Consider the following 18,533-nt stretch of genomic DNA (forward strand, 5'->3'; position numbering starts at 1 on the left):
ACACCATCTCAAAAAAAAAAAAAAAAAAAAGTTATTATACAATTGAAAATACTGGCAATATTTTATGGTATTCAGAAACAGCTAGTTTTTAAGGTATAATTATACTATAATTATTTTTTTCAGAGTTCTTTTTTTTTTAGAAATGCATACTGAAATATTTATTGATGAAGTGATATGGTACCTAGGATTTACTTCAAAATAAAATGAGTAAGGTAGAAGTGGGTAGAGAGAATACAGATGAAACAAGACTGGTCATGAGTTAATTATTGTTGAAGCTCTATGATGGGTAGATAGAAGTTTACTACACAATTATGTGCACTTATATATATATTTGACATTTTCCACAATAAAAGTTAAAAAAAATTAATAATAAAGCCATTGTGCCTAGATCCAGAATTCTATGAATAATTCAACCTGTATATCCTATATCCCCAAGGAGAACATGATTTGTCTTCTTTGCCTTTTCTCCTACCTTTTTCCATGAGTAGTCATAACCATCCACATTAACCACTGGCATAACATAGAAATCCACAAGCCTCAGGAGATTGGTATATTGCCCTATTATCCCATAGAATTGAGTTATCTGCAAATTAAACCAAGTATATTTAATTAGATGTTTTAAGTTCTTCTAAACTTAGTGTGTTTCTTTTTCTTTTTTTTAATTTGTCATTTGGCATGTTTAGATTTGCAGATTTAACTTTCAGAAAGAGTGCTAATTCCTCAAAAGAACTGAACTTAGGGTGCTACGAAGTGGTGATAAATGCCTTACACGTGGTCCAGTATTCCTAGTTAATGAAGGCAGACAATCGAACCATAAACTTTCTAAATTTTCCTTAAAAAATAAAATTAATTCTTTATTAAAGCCATAGAGCCCACTAAGAAGATTTAAGGAAACAAAAACCTAGATTTAGTTTAGCTCCTTTTTCTGTAATTCATGTTCATCAGAGCTTAAACTACCTACCATGTTTTATCCCCAGATGTGATTACATGATATTGGCTACATTGTCCTTAGAACTTGTGGAGCTCAAGTTTTGCTAGAATTGAGTGTGTTTCCCAAGGCTTTGATCATCTAGCTGTAGAATTAGGGTAGCTTTTCCTAGGAACTGGCTATGAATTCCTAACGGACATCATCTCAAACTTGTTCCTCTCTACTTTAGAGTCATCCAGCTTAGTGGCACATATTGCAGTGTGATCCAATGGCATCCAAATTTGGTGACTGAGAAGTTTACCCCAAAATGACAAAATGTACAGGCAGGAGAACTATAAAGACAAATTTTAGCTGGTCAAATCGTTTCATCTAGGACAAAGCTTTTGGTTCAAAATCTTAATTTGTGGCAACATTGCTATATTTTAATTTAATTCACATTTAATTACATTAAATATTTAATTTAGTTTATAATTGTTTGTTGCCTTAAAGCATACTCATGACATTGTTAAGAAATGTCTTTTTCATTATTGACAAAATAAAAACAAGCCTTTTATAAACTTTACTATTTTCCCTTTAAACGTTTAAAATATTATATTCATATTTCCCTAGAACAATCACAAGAGTCACATTAAAAATCTTTGCCATGAATAAATACTTATGAAATCGGAGAGAAAGAAAAGAAAAAAGTTATTTTAAAATCTACTGTAGGTCAGAAATAAAAGGTTAATGAAAAGGAAGCAAAATTTGTAGAATGAAGGAAGCCATGTTTTGTTTTTTTGTTTGTTTGTTTTTTATTATACTTTAAGTTCTGGGATACATGTGCAGAACATGCAGGTTTGTTACATAGTTATACACGTGCCACGGTGGTTAGCTGCACCCATCAACCCGTCATCTACATTAGGTATTTCTCCTAATGCTCTCCCTCCCCTAGCCCCCCACCCCCGACAGGCCCCGGTGTGTGATGTTCCCCTCCCTGTGTCCATGTGTTCTCATTGTTCAGCTCCCACTTATGAGTGAGAACATGTGGTGTTTGGTTTTCTGCTCTTGTGTTAGTTTGCTGAGAATGATGGTTTCCAGGGAAGCCATGTTTTAAATAGTCGAGCAACCAGTTAAATACATTTTTATGTTACGAATTTATAAATTTATGTTAGCATCACTTTTCAGTAATAATGTAGCATTCATTATTAGAAAAATATTAGGAGAGCCTGTTCCTTTTAAAATAATAAAGCAAATAATAAAGCATTTCTCATTTTCATTTCTACAACATGGGCCAAACTTTTAATAGATGCAGCATATGAATTTCTTTTTCTGCTTCACTTTTTAAATTTCCTTCCTACCTTTACCTCTGGTTGGATGGGAATCTTTCTACAAAAAGTTATGCTCTGAGAGATTACCGATGTTAGGCCCAGAACAATGTTACCTATTTCTTTATCTAATAGGTAGGACTCCAGACAGAAGGAGTGAGTGAGGGCTGAAATACAGTCTGTGCTGTGTGCCAAGCCACACCTTCAAGTGTGGCTATAGCTACAATCCCGAAGGAAGGGGTGCCCATTTTTTCTTTAACAGCTTATTGAGATATAATTTACATTCCAGAAATTCACCATTTTAAAGTGTGAAATTCAGCGGTTTTTGGTGTATTCATAGAGTTTTGCAACCATCACTAATATCTGATTTTTGGAACATTTCATCATAAAAAATCCCCATGCCTATGCCCATTATAACTCACTCCCCTTTCCCTCCTGCCATTTCCCCAAGCCTCTGACAATCACTAATGAACTTTCTGTCTCTGTGGATTTGCCCATTCTGGACATTTCATATAAATGGAATAATATATGTGGCATTTTGTATCTGGTTTCTTTTACTTAGCATAGTATTTTCAAGATTCATCTATGTTGTAGCATGAATCAGTATTTCATTCCTTTTGATTGCTGATTGATGTTTCATTGCATGAATATGCTGCATTTTGTTTTTCTGCTCATAAGTTGATGGAAATTTGAGTTGTTTCCACTTTTTGACTATTATGAATAATATTGCTATAATCATTTGTCAACATATGTGTTCACTTGTCTTGGGTATACACCTAGGAGTAGAACTGCTGGGTCATATGGTAACTCTATACTTAATCTTTTGAGGAACTTCCACATTGTTTTTCAAAGTGACTGAAGAAATTTTGCCTGACGACAAATAAATATTTGTTGAAGGTACGATTTACCAACATGGCAAGTAACATAACTGAAATCCTGTCCTACTAGAGTTGGTCTGCAATATACAATGACTTCACTTATGATTTTTTGACTTTACAATAGCGCAAAAGCAATGCATATTCAGTAGAAACCATACCCATGCCACCATTCCATTTTTCAGTTTTAGTGCAGTATTTAATAAGTGATATGGATATTCAGCAATTTATTATAAATTAGGCTCTGTGTTAGAAGATTTTGCCCTACTGTAGGCTAACGTAAGTGTTCTGAGCACATTTAAGGAAGGTTAGGCTATGATATTCAGTATTCGGTAGATTAGGTATATTAAATGCATTTTTTACTTAGAATATTTTCAGTTGTGATTGTTTATTGGGTATATTGAGACATAACCCCACCATAAATTGAGAAGCCTCTGTATAAAAGAAAAAGAAGATGAGAATAGAGGAGAATGGAGAAGAGTGTAAGACTGAGTGATGAGAGGGTGGGATTGATTCCCATCAGCTGGCCTGTGGTCAATGATTACTCAGCTCTTCCTCTCACTTTGCCTGGGGTGCACTCAAGCTTTGCCTTTAATGTGGCCCTAAACAACAACAACAACAACAACAATTCCTGCCTAGGAATTAACCAATGACCATTTGAGAGATAATAAATTAGTACATAACGACATATAGGTCAGTTAATGGGGTTGCTAAAAAAAAATATAAGACACATGAAGGGAAAATTTTAAAACAAAATGTCATTTTCATTACCATTACAAATATATCAGAGAGCTATCCGTCTCAGTTTTTACTCCAATCTCTATATATGTATGTATAGTTTGAACTGTAGCCAATGACAATAAAGTATTTATCCCAACAGTAGGTACTGTTTAGATACTCTCTGCAACCCAAAATTGTATGTCAGCCTAAACCTGCAACATTAATTTAAATTTCAAATTCCACAAGGGGATATTGAGCACCAATTATGTTGACCAAACAATATACCAGGTTATGGGGAACAAAAAAATTACTTTAGACCTGGTCTCTGCCTTCAGAAAGCTAATAGAAGTGATAAGTTGGAAAGGGAAAAGCAGCAGTTCAATGCTATTAATATAAGTATGATAATAAACAATGGCAAGATGTACAAGGTGGCTCAGAAAAAGGATGGTTAATTCTGTGGAGTGTTTGGGGTTGGAACTCCAGAAGAGCAGGTCAAGGGAGCAAGAAATTGAGGGTTCGGATGAATTTGTGATGGGACCAATTAGTGAAGAAAGTGTTCCTGGAAAGGGACTGATAAATTAAAATGATATAGATCTGTGTAGGAACTAGAAATATGCTAAGGTTGAAAAAAAAGCAGTCATAGTAGGGGTGAGAAATGAGAGAAGACAGGAAATTAAGAAGTTACATTGCTAGATGGCTTCTTCTAACATTCCTTGTTGCTGTCCATGGCCACATTCTGGGTCTAAGGATCAGCAAAACATTACTTCTGAGATCCAGAGGATGGCTACAGGAGAAATCTGCTAAAGAGGAGTTGAGATGAGGTTTAGTAGAACAGAGAACAAGGAACTGTGAAGATACATTGTTAGGTGACTCTCACACATGGACTTTGAATTCACTCAGAATGATGGCAAGAGTTGGAGGGGAATAAAGAATCATGAACCGGGTACCAGGAAATTATCTGAAGGTCAGTGCACGATAGCAATAAAATAAGAGTGCAACCAGTTTGTGTAAGTTTCTGAGAAGAGAAGGATCATTGGTAGTATCAGGAGAAGAGAATGCTGATCTACTCCACCAGGCCTCTCAGCACATGGTGATGTGAAAAAAAGAGCAGCCCCTCTACTTGAAGGAGCCACCAGGGAGCAGTGTCCTTAGGTCATGTGTCAGCTGTGGTGAGGAGGGGCAGAGATAATTCTGTGAAGGCCCTGAGGTTGTAGAGCTCTAACTTTGTGTGCAATTAGATGAGAGTTTTCTAGGGCAGAGGTTTGGCAGGAGGTTAGCAGTGAGAAAAGCCATTTGGCAGAAAAAGTACTTGGCAAGTTGTGATGGTTAACATATATTCACTGGGTCCTATGATGTGCCAGCCCTGTGCCGGATTTTGGCTTGGTGATGCAGTCATGCACAAATTGGTCTCAGCTCTGCCTTTGCGGAAAGAGAAGGATCTAAATTTGCCTCCCGAGAGTACATGAATGAGAAGCTTAGAAAGAAATGACTGGCTTCAAGCTTCTCAAAGTGTAGTGTAGTGGATTTCCACTGAGACTAGATTATAAGATTTTTGAAATCCTTATTGAGTTGTAGAAAAGAGTGAGAGACTTAAAAGCTAAGATTTTAATTTGCCTTTGGGTGGTTTAGTTTTTGAATATAAAACCTACCTTCACAATTGTTGAAAGGTAAATATTTTATTTTACTTTCCCTCCTCCAGTGCTTTGAAGTACTAAGAGAGTCAGATGATCTGAATTAGTTTTAGGCAGGCAAGAATGGAGTTTAAATGTCGATTTAAAAAGCCCTTATTGATTATGTTTCTTTGGGCTACACAAATCAGGTTCACATTGTTGGAGCAAAATACTCAGCTATAAGATCCTTGGGCTATATTTTGTTCATCCTTGTATTTCCAGGATCTGAAACATCATAGGCAATCTATAAATATTTGTGGATTAAATAATTTAATCTTACAAAGATTCAGCAAGCAGTTTGGGTAGAGGGTAGGATGTCTAATAGGAGGGCAGAGGTGTCAGGGTGAGAAGGGCAGTCATTAGGGACAACCTCACCGATATAAATTAGAGTCAATATGAATGGAGGTTTCTTCTTGGCCCTTCTCATGTTCAGTGATAGAATGGAAAATAAATGTTCTTACTCTCCTACTTTGGACCTTTCTCTATTAACTGCTGCTCCCTTCACTACCTAAAATAACCAAACTACTCAACTTGGGGAAGGTTCCAGATCATGATGTGACTGGGATATGTTAAGGGTCTGATCAGTTGGAATCATCCTCATTTGGCCAAGGTAGTACCAATGGTGTTTGGGAATTTCCAGTAGACTCAGGGAGGTTGCAGCTCCCATCCATGGAGAATGGAGGATAGAAGATTCACAGTGAATGAAGGCAAATAGGGATGTTGCATTTGTCAAGGTCAAGCAAAGACAGAAACAGTTTTATCTTGATGTACTTAATAAGTGCCAATATCTTAATTTCCTAACTCATTTATTCTGTTACTATGTATCTGTGAATGCAAAGACTGCAAAAATCATTATCAGAAAGACACATATTTTGAGTTATTTTTCCAGTGGCTATGATTCTTTGTAGAAATCAGTGTAGAGAACATATATGCCCATTTTATAGGATTTGAAGCATAATTTTTACTGTTTTCATTCATCAGGGAGGTTAATAGTCGTTATATCTTTTACTTTTCCAACATACAGTTTGTCTTATATATGGCTTTTTTGATGCAAAACCCTTCTTCAGGAACAAAATTCCCTATTATGACATATGAGAAAACATATTCTGTTTCACCTCTGTAATGTTGTGCTTTATGTTCAATTTCCAAGGGCAAAGGTGGCAAAAGATGTCTGGATAATTAAAACCAAAAGAGAAATAAATTAATTGGGCCCCAACTTAGATAACTCCTTCAGTCCTTTCCTCTACTTAGTAAACATATTATAATCAATGTACTATTTCTTAATCATTTTCCACTGTTTAGCTCCAGGCAGAAATGTAGAAAAGACCAAAAATATTTTGGGTGATTTAAATGCTTGAAGTCATGTTCTTCAACTTACTAATGCATAAAAGTCACCTGGGAAACTTGTGAAAATTGTAGATTCCCAAGCTTCATGATGTGACCTAGGAAAATGCATTTTAATAAATAGCCCAGTTGAGTCTGACACAGGTGATCTTGGGCACCATTTTGAGAAATAGGGTTAAGAGAATGTGAATACTTACATGGCCTATGAACCACAAGCAGAAAGCAGGAGAGATCCATTCTCTGGCATGGATTCCACAGTCAATCCATATGGCATTTTTGGCTGCTTGTTCTTTTCCAGAAACCTGCTCAAAGAAACCCCAAAAGTAGCAAAAACAGTAACAATAAGCTTCAGGATAATAACTTTCATTTATATAGTGCTTATATTTAATAGTTTCAGCAAATCTCTGAGATATGCATTGTTCTGCATTTCTTTGAAAATTCTCAAGGGAAATTTAAACACTGGTGATACTAAGTGACATTAGTTAAGGTAGCAAAGCTGGTGTGAATTGAAACTGAAGTTTGAAGCCAGGACTCTTTGATTTAAAACTGTTTTTATCCTCCACAATTATGCAGTCATGTCAGAGCTGCATGTGGAAGTTTCAAAGAAGAGACCAGAGAACTAATGATTTGGGCTGTATCTTCATGCTTCATTTAGAGGTAAATGGGTGTGAGTTGGATGGCAATCTTCCCCGGGAGGTGTGGAGACACACCCAGAGCAAAAACTCCCTCAAGATTTTCCTGAGTGCATATTTTTTTTTTATGTGGATTATTTCTTTATTTCACACAAAAAGAAGCACACATCTAACCTCTCACGAACTTACCAGCAAATCCAGGGACAGAGGCTTTTTTCCCAGTATGGTGGGCTAACACAAGCTGCTAACTCTGGAATAAGAATCATCAACCTTTTCTCAATAATAGCCTTTGATGTCTTTAGAAGAATTATCAAGAACACCTCCAAAATTAATCATAATGTATTTGCCTTTAAAAGTCAGCTACAACACAGTTTAGGGTATAGAGCAGTGGTCCCCAACCTTTTTGGCACTAGGGACCAGTTTCATGGAAGACAATTTTTCCATGGATGGGGCAGAGTTGGGGTGGAATCAGTGGTGGGGATGGTTTGGGGATAAAACTGTTCCACCTCAGATCATCAGGCATTAGATTCTCCTAAGGAGCATGCAACCTAAATCCTTTGCATGCGCGGTTCACAGTGGGGTTTGTGCTCCTATGAGAATCTAACGCTGCCACTGATCTGACAGGAAGCATTGCTCAGGCAGTAATGCTTGCTCGCTGGCTATTCATCTCCAGTTGCGTGGCCGCGTTCCTAACAGGCCATGGACTGGTACCTGTCTGCAGCCCAGGGGTTGAGGACCACTGGTATAGAGGGAAGGGAGAAGACTGTTGTAAAATCAAACAAATATGTAGACTTGCAATTCCAAAATAAGAAAAAGAAAGAGTTAGATATTTAGATTGTCATTTGAACCACTCCAGGAGGTTTTTTCCTAACTTGGAGCTAGCAATATTTAACAGGATAGTAAGTAAGAAAGCCCAATGGCATTGGCCACTAATCGTCAAATTGTATAGTCAAAGAGAACTACCTAGCTTAATCTACTCAATGCAAAGAAAATCTTAAGTTGTCTGGATTCGTTACTTTACTTGACCTTTCTAAGTCCTGGGCCAATTTTCTTGGCACTGGTTCTGACACCGAAAAGTTGGCAAAATCCCAGAGACTCACATTATCTGCACATCCTTGATCAAGTAAGAGTAGGACCAAACCATCCAGAATGCATGATTTTTCAACGTGTACAGGTTCCAGATAAGTATGTTCCAAGGACTACACACAACATGGCTGAAAGCAAATGTCATGGGTGGATATGCCATGATACATGGATCCAATCTGATTGACCAACTCAGTGACCAAGGGGACCCAACATTTCATATGTCTGCCTTGAGTCTGCACTGTAAGTTCTTGTAAACGACAGATTAAAATTGAGAAGTCCTAACCCAAAGTCTTATCTTTGAATGACTGAAGAGGCTCACCTATCACAATTTAGATAATATTGGGATACTGTGCATAAATTATATGTTACTAAATTAAATGTACATTTTTAGTGACTACATTATTTTCCAGAGCTTTAAAAAAAATTTTTTTTAAGAGAGAGAGGTAGAAAACAGAACTATAGAGTTGTTTCCTAGTTCTGAAAACAATTGGCTGTGGCTATGTTCACTGACCTTTACTAAGGTCAATTTATTCAAGAGAGAAGACATCCAATCCAAGTTAGGTTAATCAATTTCTCTTGCATAATATTTTGCAACTGAAAATAAATAACCAAATGGGTGGAAATTGGAGTAGAAACCATCATAAGAACCCTACTGCAAAGGACTTCAGCCTTGTCCGGCTGTTTGTCCCTTGCTGGGATTTGTTGTCCTGGTCTTACTTTAGTTTCAAAAGCTGTACCAGGAAGTACTAACCAGAGCAAACAGGTAAGAGAAAGAAATAAAAGGCATCTAAATTGGAAGGGAAAAATCAAATTATCCTTGGTTTTAGATGACACGATCTTATATTTAGAAAAACCTAGCCTCCACCAAAAAACTGTGTTAGAACTGATAAATTCAGTAAATTGCAGGTTATAAAATCAGCACACAAAATCAGTAGCATTTATATACAACAATAGCAGACAACCTAAAAGAAAAATCAAGAAAGAAATACCATTTACAATGACCAAAAAAAAAAACCTATAATAAATCTAACCAAAGAAGTGAAAGACCTACAATTAAGACCATAGAACACTGATGAAAGAAACTGAAGAGAACACACAAAAAAATGAAAAGATACCTCATGCTCACGGGCTTAAGAATTAATATTGTTAAAATGTCCGTACTACCGAATGGAATCTACAGATTCAATGCAATCCCTGTCAATATCAATATACTCTTCATAGAAAGAGAAAAAAAATTCTAAAATTCATATGGAGCCATAAGAGATCTTGAAAATCCAAAGCAATGCTGAACAGAATGAGCAAAGCTGGAGTACTAAAACAGCATGGTACTGGCATAAAAACAGACACATGGACCAATGGATTAGAATAGAGAACCCAGAAATAAATCCACAGATCTACAGTTAACTCATTTTCAACAAAGGCACCAAGAACATACATTGGGAAAAGGACAGTCTTGTCAATAAATGGTATTGGGAAAAATTTTATTCATAAAATTCAAACTAAATGCCTATCTCTCGCCTTATATATAAAATCAACTAAAAACAGATTAGAATTAAATGTAATACCTAAAACTATAAAACTACTAGAAGAAAACATTGGGAAAACAATTCAGGACTTTGGTCTCAGCAAAGATTTTTTGGGTAAGATCTCAAAAGCACAGTCAACAGAAGCAAAAATAGATAAAGGGGATTACATCAAACTGAAAATTTGCTTCTGCACAGCAAAGGAAATAACAGCGTGAAAAGAAAAAAATGGGAGAAAATATGTGCAAGCTATCCAGCCAACAGGGACTTAATAACCAGAATATATAAGGAACGCAAACAATTCAAAAGGAAAAAAACAAATAATCCAATTTTAAAAATGAGAAAGGAATCTGAACAGACATTTCTCAAAAGAAGACACACAAATGGGCAACAGGTATATGAAAAAATCCTCAACATCACTAATCATCAGGGAAATGTGAATTAAAACCACAATGCAATGTCATCTCATTCCAGTTAAAATGGCTTTTATCCAAAAGACAGGCAATTACGAATGCTAGAGAGGATGTGGAGAAAGGGGAACCCTTGTACACTGTTGGTAGGAATGTAAATTAGTTCAGCCACTATGAAAAACCATGTGGAGGTTCCTCAAAAAACTAAAAATGGAACTACCATATAAGCCAGCAGTCCTATTATTGGGTATGTATCCAAAAGAAAGGAAATCAGTATATCAAAAAGATACCTGCACTCCCATGTTTATTACAGCACCATTCACAATAGTCAAGATATAGAATCAACCTAAGTGTTCTTCAACAGATGAATGATAAAGAAAATGTGGATGTGGATAAAGAAAATGTGGATATGCATGTGGAAAATGTGGATAACAAATGGAATATTACTCAGGCATTAAAAGGAATAAAATCCTATCATTTGCAGCAACATGCCCTGAAATAAGCTATGTAGGGAAAGACAAATACTACATGTTCTCACTGATATGGGGAGTGGAAAACGTTGATCTCATAGAGGTAGAGAGTAGAATGGTGATTACCAGAGGCTGGGAAAGGAGGATAAAGAGAGATTAATTAGTGGGTACAAAATAGATAGAAGGAATAAGTTCTAGTGTGTAGTAGCACAGTAGGGTGACGAGAATCAACAATATTTCAAAATAGCTAGAAGATGAACTTAAAATGTTCCCAACACAAAGAAATGATAAATGTTTGAAGTGATGGATATCCCAAATACCCTGATTTACACATTGTATGCATGTATCAAAACATCACATGTGAGGAGGGAGGGAGAAAAAAAATCACATGTACCCCAGAAACATGTACAATTATTATGTATCAATTTTTAAAAATTAACATCAAAAAGCTGCACCACTTTTTTTAATTTTTAATTTTATTTTTTCAAGTCCCTGTTTTATTTTCTGTTAGTGTTTGTCCCCTAACAGAAATAGTGTTTGTCCACTAACGAAAATAAAACAAGGACTTGAAAAAAATAAACACCACTTCCTTCATTTTATGGAAATGTTAAATGGCTTATCTAATGTCACATAAACAGAAACAGAGTTAATTCTAGAACTGGGATTCATCTAGAATTGAAGCCTTAACCCCCTAGAGACTGTATTTGGAGATAGGGCCTTTAAAGAGGTGATTAAGTTAACATGAGGCCCTTAGGGTGGGTACTAATCCAGACTGACTGGTGTCCTTGTGGGAGGAGATTAGGACATACAGACCAGGACAAGACTATATTATTAATGGGAAAAATAACCAACCCCTAAATAGCCAGGTATTAAAGTTGAGGAACACTTGTAATGCAAATATTTTCAGAACTCAAAGGAAACAAACTCAAGTTTTAACAAACACGACTGGAGAATTAATCCCTCCCCTCACAGTGAAAGATCAACAACTTTCCCCACAACATACCTTTAAAACATAGAGTGGGTACTTCTCAAATGAGGATCCAATGTGGATTTTTGTAAGCATATCAGGATGCCTCTCAGTTATAAATTCTATCCAAGAATAGATCTAGCAAAATGGAAACCAGAGGTTAGTCACGAAGCCAAGTTCAAAGCATTTCCCTGACCAAAGCAAGCAGACAACTTCTTCAGAGAAAGGAAAACCTCTGTATGTGGAATGCACGAGGACCTAAAGCACTTAGGGCAGGGTGTTTCTTCTGCTGTTTAGGGAAATTAATAAAATTAAAGTTTTGATAAGTGTCAAGGTTTTGAGAAAGAGTGAAAAAGTGCTAAGATACTTATAATGAGGTAGGAAAAGTTAATCTATAAACTATGGCCCCTGAAAGTTACTTTTAAAGTCATCACATTGAGTCACTGCCCCTGTGTATGAAATTCTTGTTCTCATTCATTCAAAAGTTCACTTTTATATGAGACTTTTTTAAAAATGCACTTTTCAAGATGAAGGGAGCCCTTAGCACTGTCTTCATGCAGGATAAATGGAAGCATCATTGTTTCCCACTAAAGACCTGTGCAAGAACAGTGAGATTGGCACAATGATGAGAGGCAAAGGTGGGGACCATCTGGAGGAAAAACAAACAAACTCAATTATCCCCCCAAGAAGTAGTTCGATTCTGGACCTCTCTCTTGGGTGGAAGTCCAGTTGTATTTGAGGTTCTGTCAAGATAATAGGGGAAGGAAAAAGCAAAAAAAAAAAAAAAAAAAAGAAAAGAAAAGAAAAGAAAAAAATTCTGACTTTAGGCTAGCACCCACTTCAAAGCAAACATTGAATTATTGTCTGGTTTGGGATTGCTGGGATTGAACTGGGTTATGTTTTAATTTGGACCAACTTTCCAGGGTCCATTCTTAAACTCTGATGCCTTCTGAAACAGAAGCAATCAAACCCTGGCTTTATCTCTGGGAACTTTTCTAGAGGTGATTTCAAATAGCAATCCTAGCTGGTAAAAACTGGAGCACCATTTATCCTTGGGTTCTCTGAGATCACATAACCAGCATGAGTGGTAGGTGTGAGTGGTTGTCCCCATGCTGAGAATTAAGGGCTCCTGCCCACCTGCCACCAAGTACCGACCCTGTCAGTGTCTGGGGTGTCAGAAATGTAACTGTCAGCAATTTCCTAATTGAATCTCCATTTCCTGTGTTACTCTTCTAGGCATAAATACATCTGAGAAAGCTACCACAAAAAAATAATTTATGCATTGATACTTCAGTAGATTTCCTCTAACAGGAGAGGCTGTATAATATGAAGGCAGTTTAACCGACAGACTTTATTCATTTCTCAAACTAAGCTGGGGTAATAATGTAACATCCTTTGAAGAACTCTTTTCTCTCACCATTTCTTCTAAGAAGTAATTTTTGGCCATTTGTTTCTTTCTCCCTACACCGGATCATTTAAGATCTCCTGGTGTGAGTCAATGACAAAATAACCTCTGCTGCCCACCAGTCCATCTTGTAGGTAGGGCTGATCAAGAGACCACCGATCAAAGGGAAAGAAGCACTTAGAGGAATATTCTGAGAGCAAAATGCTTATGGTTCCTATGAACCTGTTAGAAAATAATAGGGGCGGGGGTGCAAAGAGAAGCACAAGACATTTTCTATAATGTCATAGTTAAGGAGTAGATGTTGTACCCCTTTCTCCAATTCATATGTTCAATCCCTAACTCCCAGTAGGTTAGAAAGTGACTGTATTTGGAGATAGGGCCTTTAAAGAGATGATCAAGTCAACATGAGGCCCTTAGAGTGGGCACGAATCCAATCTGACTGGTGTCCTTATATGAAGAGGAGATTAAGATATACAGAGAGAGACCAGGGATGCATGTGCACAAACAAAAGGTCATATGAGGCTGGGCATGGTGGCTCACACCTGTAATCCTAGAATTTTGGGAGGCCAAGGCGAGCAGATCACTTGAGCTCAGGAATTCAAGACCAGCCTGTCCAACATGGTGAAATCCCATCTCTACTAAAAATACAAAAAATTAGCTGAGCGTGGTGGTATGCGCCTCTAGTCCCAGCTACTCTGGAGGCTGAGGCAGGAGAATTGCTTGAACCCAAGAGGCGCAGGTTGCAGTGAGCCAAAATCATGCTATCGCACTCCAGCCTGGGTGACAGAGAGAAACTCTGTCTCAAAAAAAAAAAAAAAAAAAGGAAAGAAAAGGCATATGAGGAAGAACGCTGTGAGATGGCAACTACCTACAAGCTGAGGAAAGAGGCCTCAGTAGAAACCAAACCTACTGACACCTTGATCTTCTAGCCTCTAGAATCATGAGAAAACAAATTTCTGTGATTTCAGCTACACAGTCTGTGGTATTTTATTACCACAGCCCTAGAAAACTAATAGAGCCATGTGCTTATTTTTTCCTCCTGTGTCATTCCAACTCTTTCCTGAACATATCGTAAGAAAACATAACTTTTTTGAACAAAATAATTAAAATATGTTTTAACAAATATTTAAAAATACTTCTGTTTATGGCATTCCCCTCTCCCCACCAAACTTATCACAGCAGTGACAGTTTCACCTTTTATGAAGGTGAAATCCCACCTATGAAGCCTCTCTGCATCAAGTTTGCTCATGCAGTCGTGCTGATGGATGCTGGAGAGAGGTGGTCTAAGTTGGATAGATGTAGGAGAGATTAAAAAAGGGGGGGTGCAATTTTAAGGCCCCCTCAATCAACCAGGCACACATTCTAGAAGCATACTGACTCTGGCTTAATTAACTGGGAAGGAACAGATGCTTTTAAAGATTATATACATAAAATTGATTCTCATTACCTAAGTCTTAGATGTCTTAAAAATATGGATATGGTCCCTAATAGTTTCTGGGCACTTAGTCAAAGATGACAAAAATAGTTATATTAGGCAATATAGCTGCATACTCATAAAAAGGCATCAAGGTATTTTTACTACTTGGAGAATATCATATAAAAAAGAAAGTCCTCCTGCGAATTTATTCTTTCAACTAACAAATACAGGGAATGGCTTTTAGTGGATTATGTGAAAGCTTGCTGAGGTCTCACCTGCACATCAACATCTTACTCAAGTTCTCTCTAGAAGGAGTGGAACCTGTAAGTACTGATAGAAAAAAAATCCAATTTCTTACAGATTAAAACAAAGGCATTATTATTATTATTAGTTTAAATAGCTTCCTTCTAAGGAATAAAATGCAATTAGTTATAGTGTATTAAATATAAGTGAATATATTCCTTTAATTCAGTGAGCTAATCTGGTAATTAGTAAAATTAGGGTAATGGTCCAAAGAGACATGATTAATTGGACTGGTAATTTTTTGGTGGCAGTTTTAATTAAAAGCCCCAATTCTTTAATTTCTGTTGTTCCATAGCATAAAGTGTTATTCCCAGCAGTTAGAGATATTCTTAGCTGTAGACAAACATCCTGCAGTTTACCAAATATGATGCAGTCTTCTCAGGGAAGATATCTACCAAAAAATGAATGACCACCATTTAATTAACCTAAGTGTGTTTGTGTTTTATTTTTTACCATCTTCCACCAATTATGATTCTTGAATATTCCCCTGATTGAAATGGCAATACTGGTTAAATGAAAATAGTAGCTTTGAAGAGCTGTGTGATGGCTTACTTCATTTAGTGAGTGATACTGTTCATAGTACGATGCGGAGGCTCGGGGGCTGACTGTGTCGTTGGAAATCTGCTGTTGAATAAGATCTTCCACATCTGCCAGCAAGACACTAGGTGATGAAACAGAGAGTGAGCTAGTTTCCAAGCAGAGGGTGGATCTTCCCACATGGCCCATTGCAGGCACAGCAGGTGAGCATGAAGAAAAAAAATCACTAAGAAACTTCATAAGCATTTCATCAAGGTAAAAGTAAGACATCTCGCATTGTGGTAAACTGGTTGACAAACCCTTTCAGTAGAGCCTACATGGGCACTAGAGAAAAAGTAGCTCCTATTAGGTATACTTTCAGGACCTCCATAAAAACCACCGTTTCCCACCATTACCAACATTACTCAATGGTGATTCTTCAGTGTCTTTTATATGAATATATGGATTAATGTACCTTTGTTCAATCCAGACTAACACTGTATTATGCTGTTTTCAGTTAAAGAGGAAGAAGAAGCAGAAAAGCCTTTTCTTTCTTTTTTTTTTTTTCTTATTTTTTCCCCCATTGACCTGCATCAGATGTTCTGCAGAGCCAAAGAAATAGAACAGGAAAAGGGAAGTACAGGAAAGGCATCTCATTCAAGTTCTCTTCAGAGCACCACATTTGTTAACCAGGCAAATATTTTAGCTGAATTCAGGCATTCTATCGCCTGAGATGGACAAGTTGAAAGTTAGCTATCATACTAATAAAGGGTTCTTTACTTTTATTTAGGCCAATAAATAAAAGCCGCAGTGTTGACATCAGAAAGGTCTAAGTTCGACTCCTAACTCTGCCATGTTCTTTCTGATTTACCCTGAAAAATTCCTTTATAAGTAAGGATATTTTTTCATCTATATAATGGGGTTGCATCTACTTCACGGGGTTAAATAAAGATTAATAGACACAATGTCAATTAATAGAAAGGTTCAGCACAGTTCCTGGAAAACAGTACACACCTATAATATACTCTATAATATATTACTAATAATTAACATAGCATATTATCCAGGGGGCACCCATTGATACACAGAAGAGAGCATGGTCTCAAGGGGCCAGGCCACCAGGAAGGTACTGGCAGTTGGGCAGTGGATATGGAGGGGAGATATTAGGAGACTCCATAAGAAGAAGGCTAGACTGTGAGCAGAAATTGTACCTGATACACTTTTTAAGAAAAGGAAATCATTTCTAATCCACAGGGTAGGTGCTGTTTTTACCCTTAATATACAAAACTTGGGAGCAGAGAGGTGAATAATTCCCCCAGGGTCATATAGGTGGTAAGGGGCAGTGCCAGACTAACCCGAGGTCTCTGCAGAGTCCAACCACCTGTTACACTTTTTAAAGCCAGACATTCAGAAATGGTCACTGTCTTTGTGAAGAAGAATTAGCAGAAGCTAAATCCCCTCCCGAAGCTGCTTTTTCAGGAGATATCAAAAAGCCTACCAAGGCAAATGACAGTTTTGCTCCCTGAGTCTGGGTACAGAGTCAGAGAAAAAGGAACTATGAGAGCCTTTACCAATCACTGAGTCTAACCTGCATTTTAGATAAGGGACGGAGGTCATGAGGGGTTGAACCATTTATCCAAGATCACAGAGCTGGACCTTAGGCTTTATCACCAGTCCATTTGGTCCAGTCAGAGACTTCTATGCTGCCATGGTTAATACATTTTATTTTTCCAGGAAGCAATTATACCATACCCTAGTCAAGTGCATAGTAAGTGTTTATAATAACTACTCAATACGTATTGAACGGTGCCTACCTGCATGGAATTCCGCTCACATTTAAATGGGCTTTCACATTGTCGACATCAGATGCATTTACAAAAAAATGGACTTGTTTTTTCTTCACAATAAGGTCAGCTGTTACCGGCTGCCAGAGAACAATCTACAGTTTAAGGGGCAAAATTGATAAAATTAAAAAAGAGTTGTTCACATCATTCTCATCTGTAGCTAGAGCCATGACAGTTTTATCTATAAGGAGTATGAAAAGGACACTCCCTGGTGCTGGTCCCCATCCACACACATGGTAATATAAACATTTATTTTGCAGTGAGTTTTTTAAAATTCCTTTCTATAACTCTAGTTGCTAAAAAAAAATAAAATAAAAGGGCCTGGAATATACAAGATAATCCATAAATATTTGATGAGACAATGATGAATGAATGACTATATTCATGGCTTAACTGTAAAATTGCATGTGTACATCAGATATTTGAAAGGAAACAAAATTTTTTCTAGAAAGAAAGTTGATTAAACATTGATTTTATTTAATAAAAATTTCATGTTCTTGTAATTATCATCATGTCATTTTTCCTTTTTTTAAAAAGGCTTCCAATAAGATTTACATTTTTTCTCTCTTAATGTGCTTTTTATTTATTTATTTATTTATTTTTTATTTTTTATTTTTTTTTTGAGACGGAGTCTGGCTGTCTCCCAGGCTGGAGTGCAGTGGCGCGATCTTGGCTCACTGCAAGCTCTGCCTCCCGAGTTCTCGCCATTCTCCTGCCTCAGCCTCCCGGGTAGCTGGGACTACAGGCGCCCGCCACCACGCCCGGCTAATTTTTTGTATTTTTAGTAGAGACGGGGTTTCACCGTGTTAGCCAGGATGGTCTCGATCTCCTGACCTCGTGATCCGCCCACCTCGGCCCTCCAAAGTGCTGGGATTACAGGCACGAGCCACTACACGTACTTTTTCAAAGCACTTTCACACTCATTTCCTTTGATATTTATAACGCTTTGATATAGACTAGGCAGGTGTTATTATTTGCATTGTTCAGGTGAAGAAATTAAGGTTCATACCTGACATCTAAAATCATACACCTAGAAATGACAGAACAAGAACTAGAATTCTAAATCTCAGATGCTTCCTCTTGTAGTATTTCCTCTTTACCATGATGTGGTGGTCGTGA

At 37.1% G+C, this 18,533-nt stretch overlaps 1 protein-coding gene and 1 long non-coding RNA gene across 5 annotated transcripts in view, besides 3 other annotated features; one reads left to right on the forward strand and one right to left on the reverse strand.

The window, feature by feature from the left end:
• Positions 1–18,533, forward strand: part of CPB2-AS1 (CPB2 antisense RNA 1) — a 48,500-nt gene that overhangs the window by 13,987 nt on the left and 15,980 nt on the right. The gene's annotated exons all lie outside the window — the stretch shown is intronic.
• The window catches only part of CPB2 (carboxypeptidase B2), a 51,848-nt gene that overhangs the window by 13,649 nt on the left and 19,666 nt on the right, over positions 1–18,533 (reverse strand). For 2 of the 3 annotated variants that reach the window (NM_001872.5, XM_017020393.3), the window contains exons 3-7: positions 17,385–17,509; positions 15,607–15,715; positions 11,966–12,067; positions 7,039–7,143; positions 473–583 (exon numbers count right to left, since the gene is read on the reverse strand). In NM_001872.5, the coding sequence (NP_001863.3) occupies positions 473–583; positions 7,039–7,143; positions 11,966–12,067; positions 15,607–15,715; positions 17,385–17,509 (552 nt within the window). The remainder of the gene's footprint in view (positions 1–472; positions 584–7,038; positions 7,144–11,965; positions 12,068–15,606; positions 15,716–17,384; positions 17,510–18,533) is intronic. The other variant, NM_001278541.2, reaches the window with a different exon arrangement.
• Positions 4,651–4,710: an enhancer, noted in NCBI's record as "active region_7686". NCBI's record gives its function as "activates an Ori minimal core promoter by ATAC-STARR-seq in GM12878 lymphoblastoid cells {active_cell/tissue: GM12878}" and the evidence as "EXISTENCE:reporter gene assay evidence [ECO:0000049][PMID:35858748]".
• Positions 4,721–4,910: an enhancer, noted in NCBI's record as "active region_7687". NCBI's record gives its function as "activates an Ori minimal core promoter by ATAC-STARR-seq in GM12878 lymphoblastoid cells {active_cell/tissue: GM12878}" and the evidence as "EXISTENCE:reporter gene assay evidence [ECO:0000049][PMID:35858748]".
• Positions 4,941–5,010: an enhancer, noted in NCBI's record as "active region_7688". NCBI's record gives its function as "activates an Ori minimal core promoter by ATAC-STARR-seq in GM12878 lymphoblastoid cells {active_cell/tissue: GM12878}" and the evidence as "EXISTENCE:reporter gene assay evidence [ECO:0000049][PMID:35858748]".

This window comes from Homo sapiens, chromosome 13 (assembly GCF_000001405.40).
Source record: "Homo sapiens chromosome 13, GRCh38.p14 Primary Assembly".
NCBI classification, from domain to species: domain Eukaryota; kingdom Metazoa; phylum Chordata; class Mammalia; order Primates; family Hominidae; genus Homo; species Homo sapiens.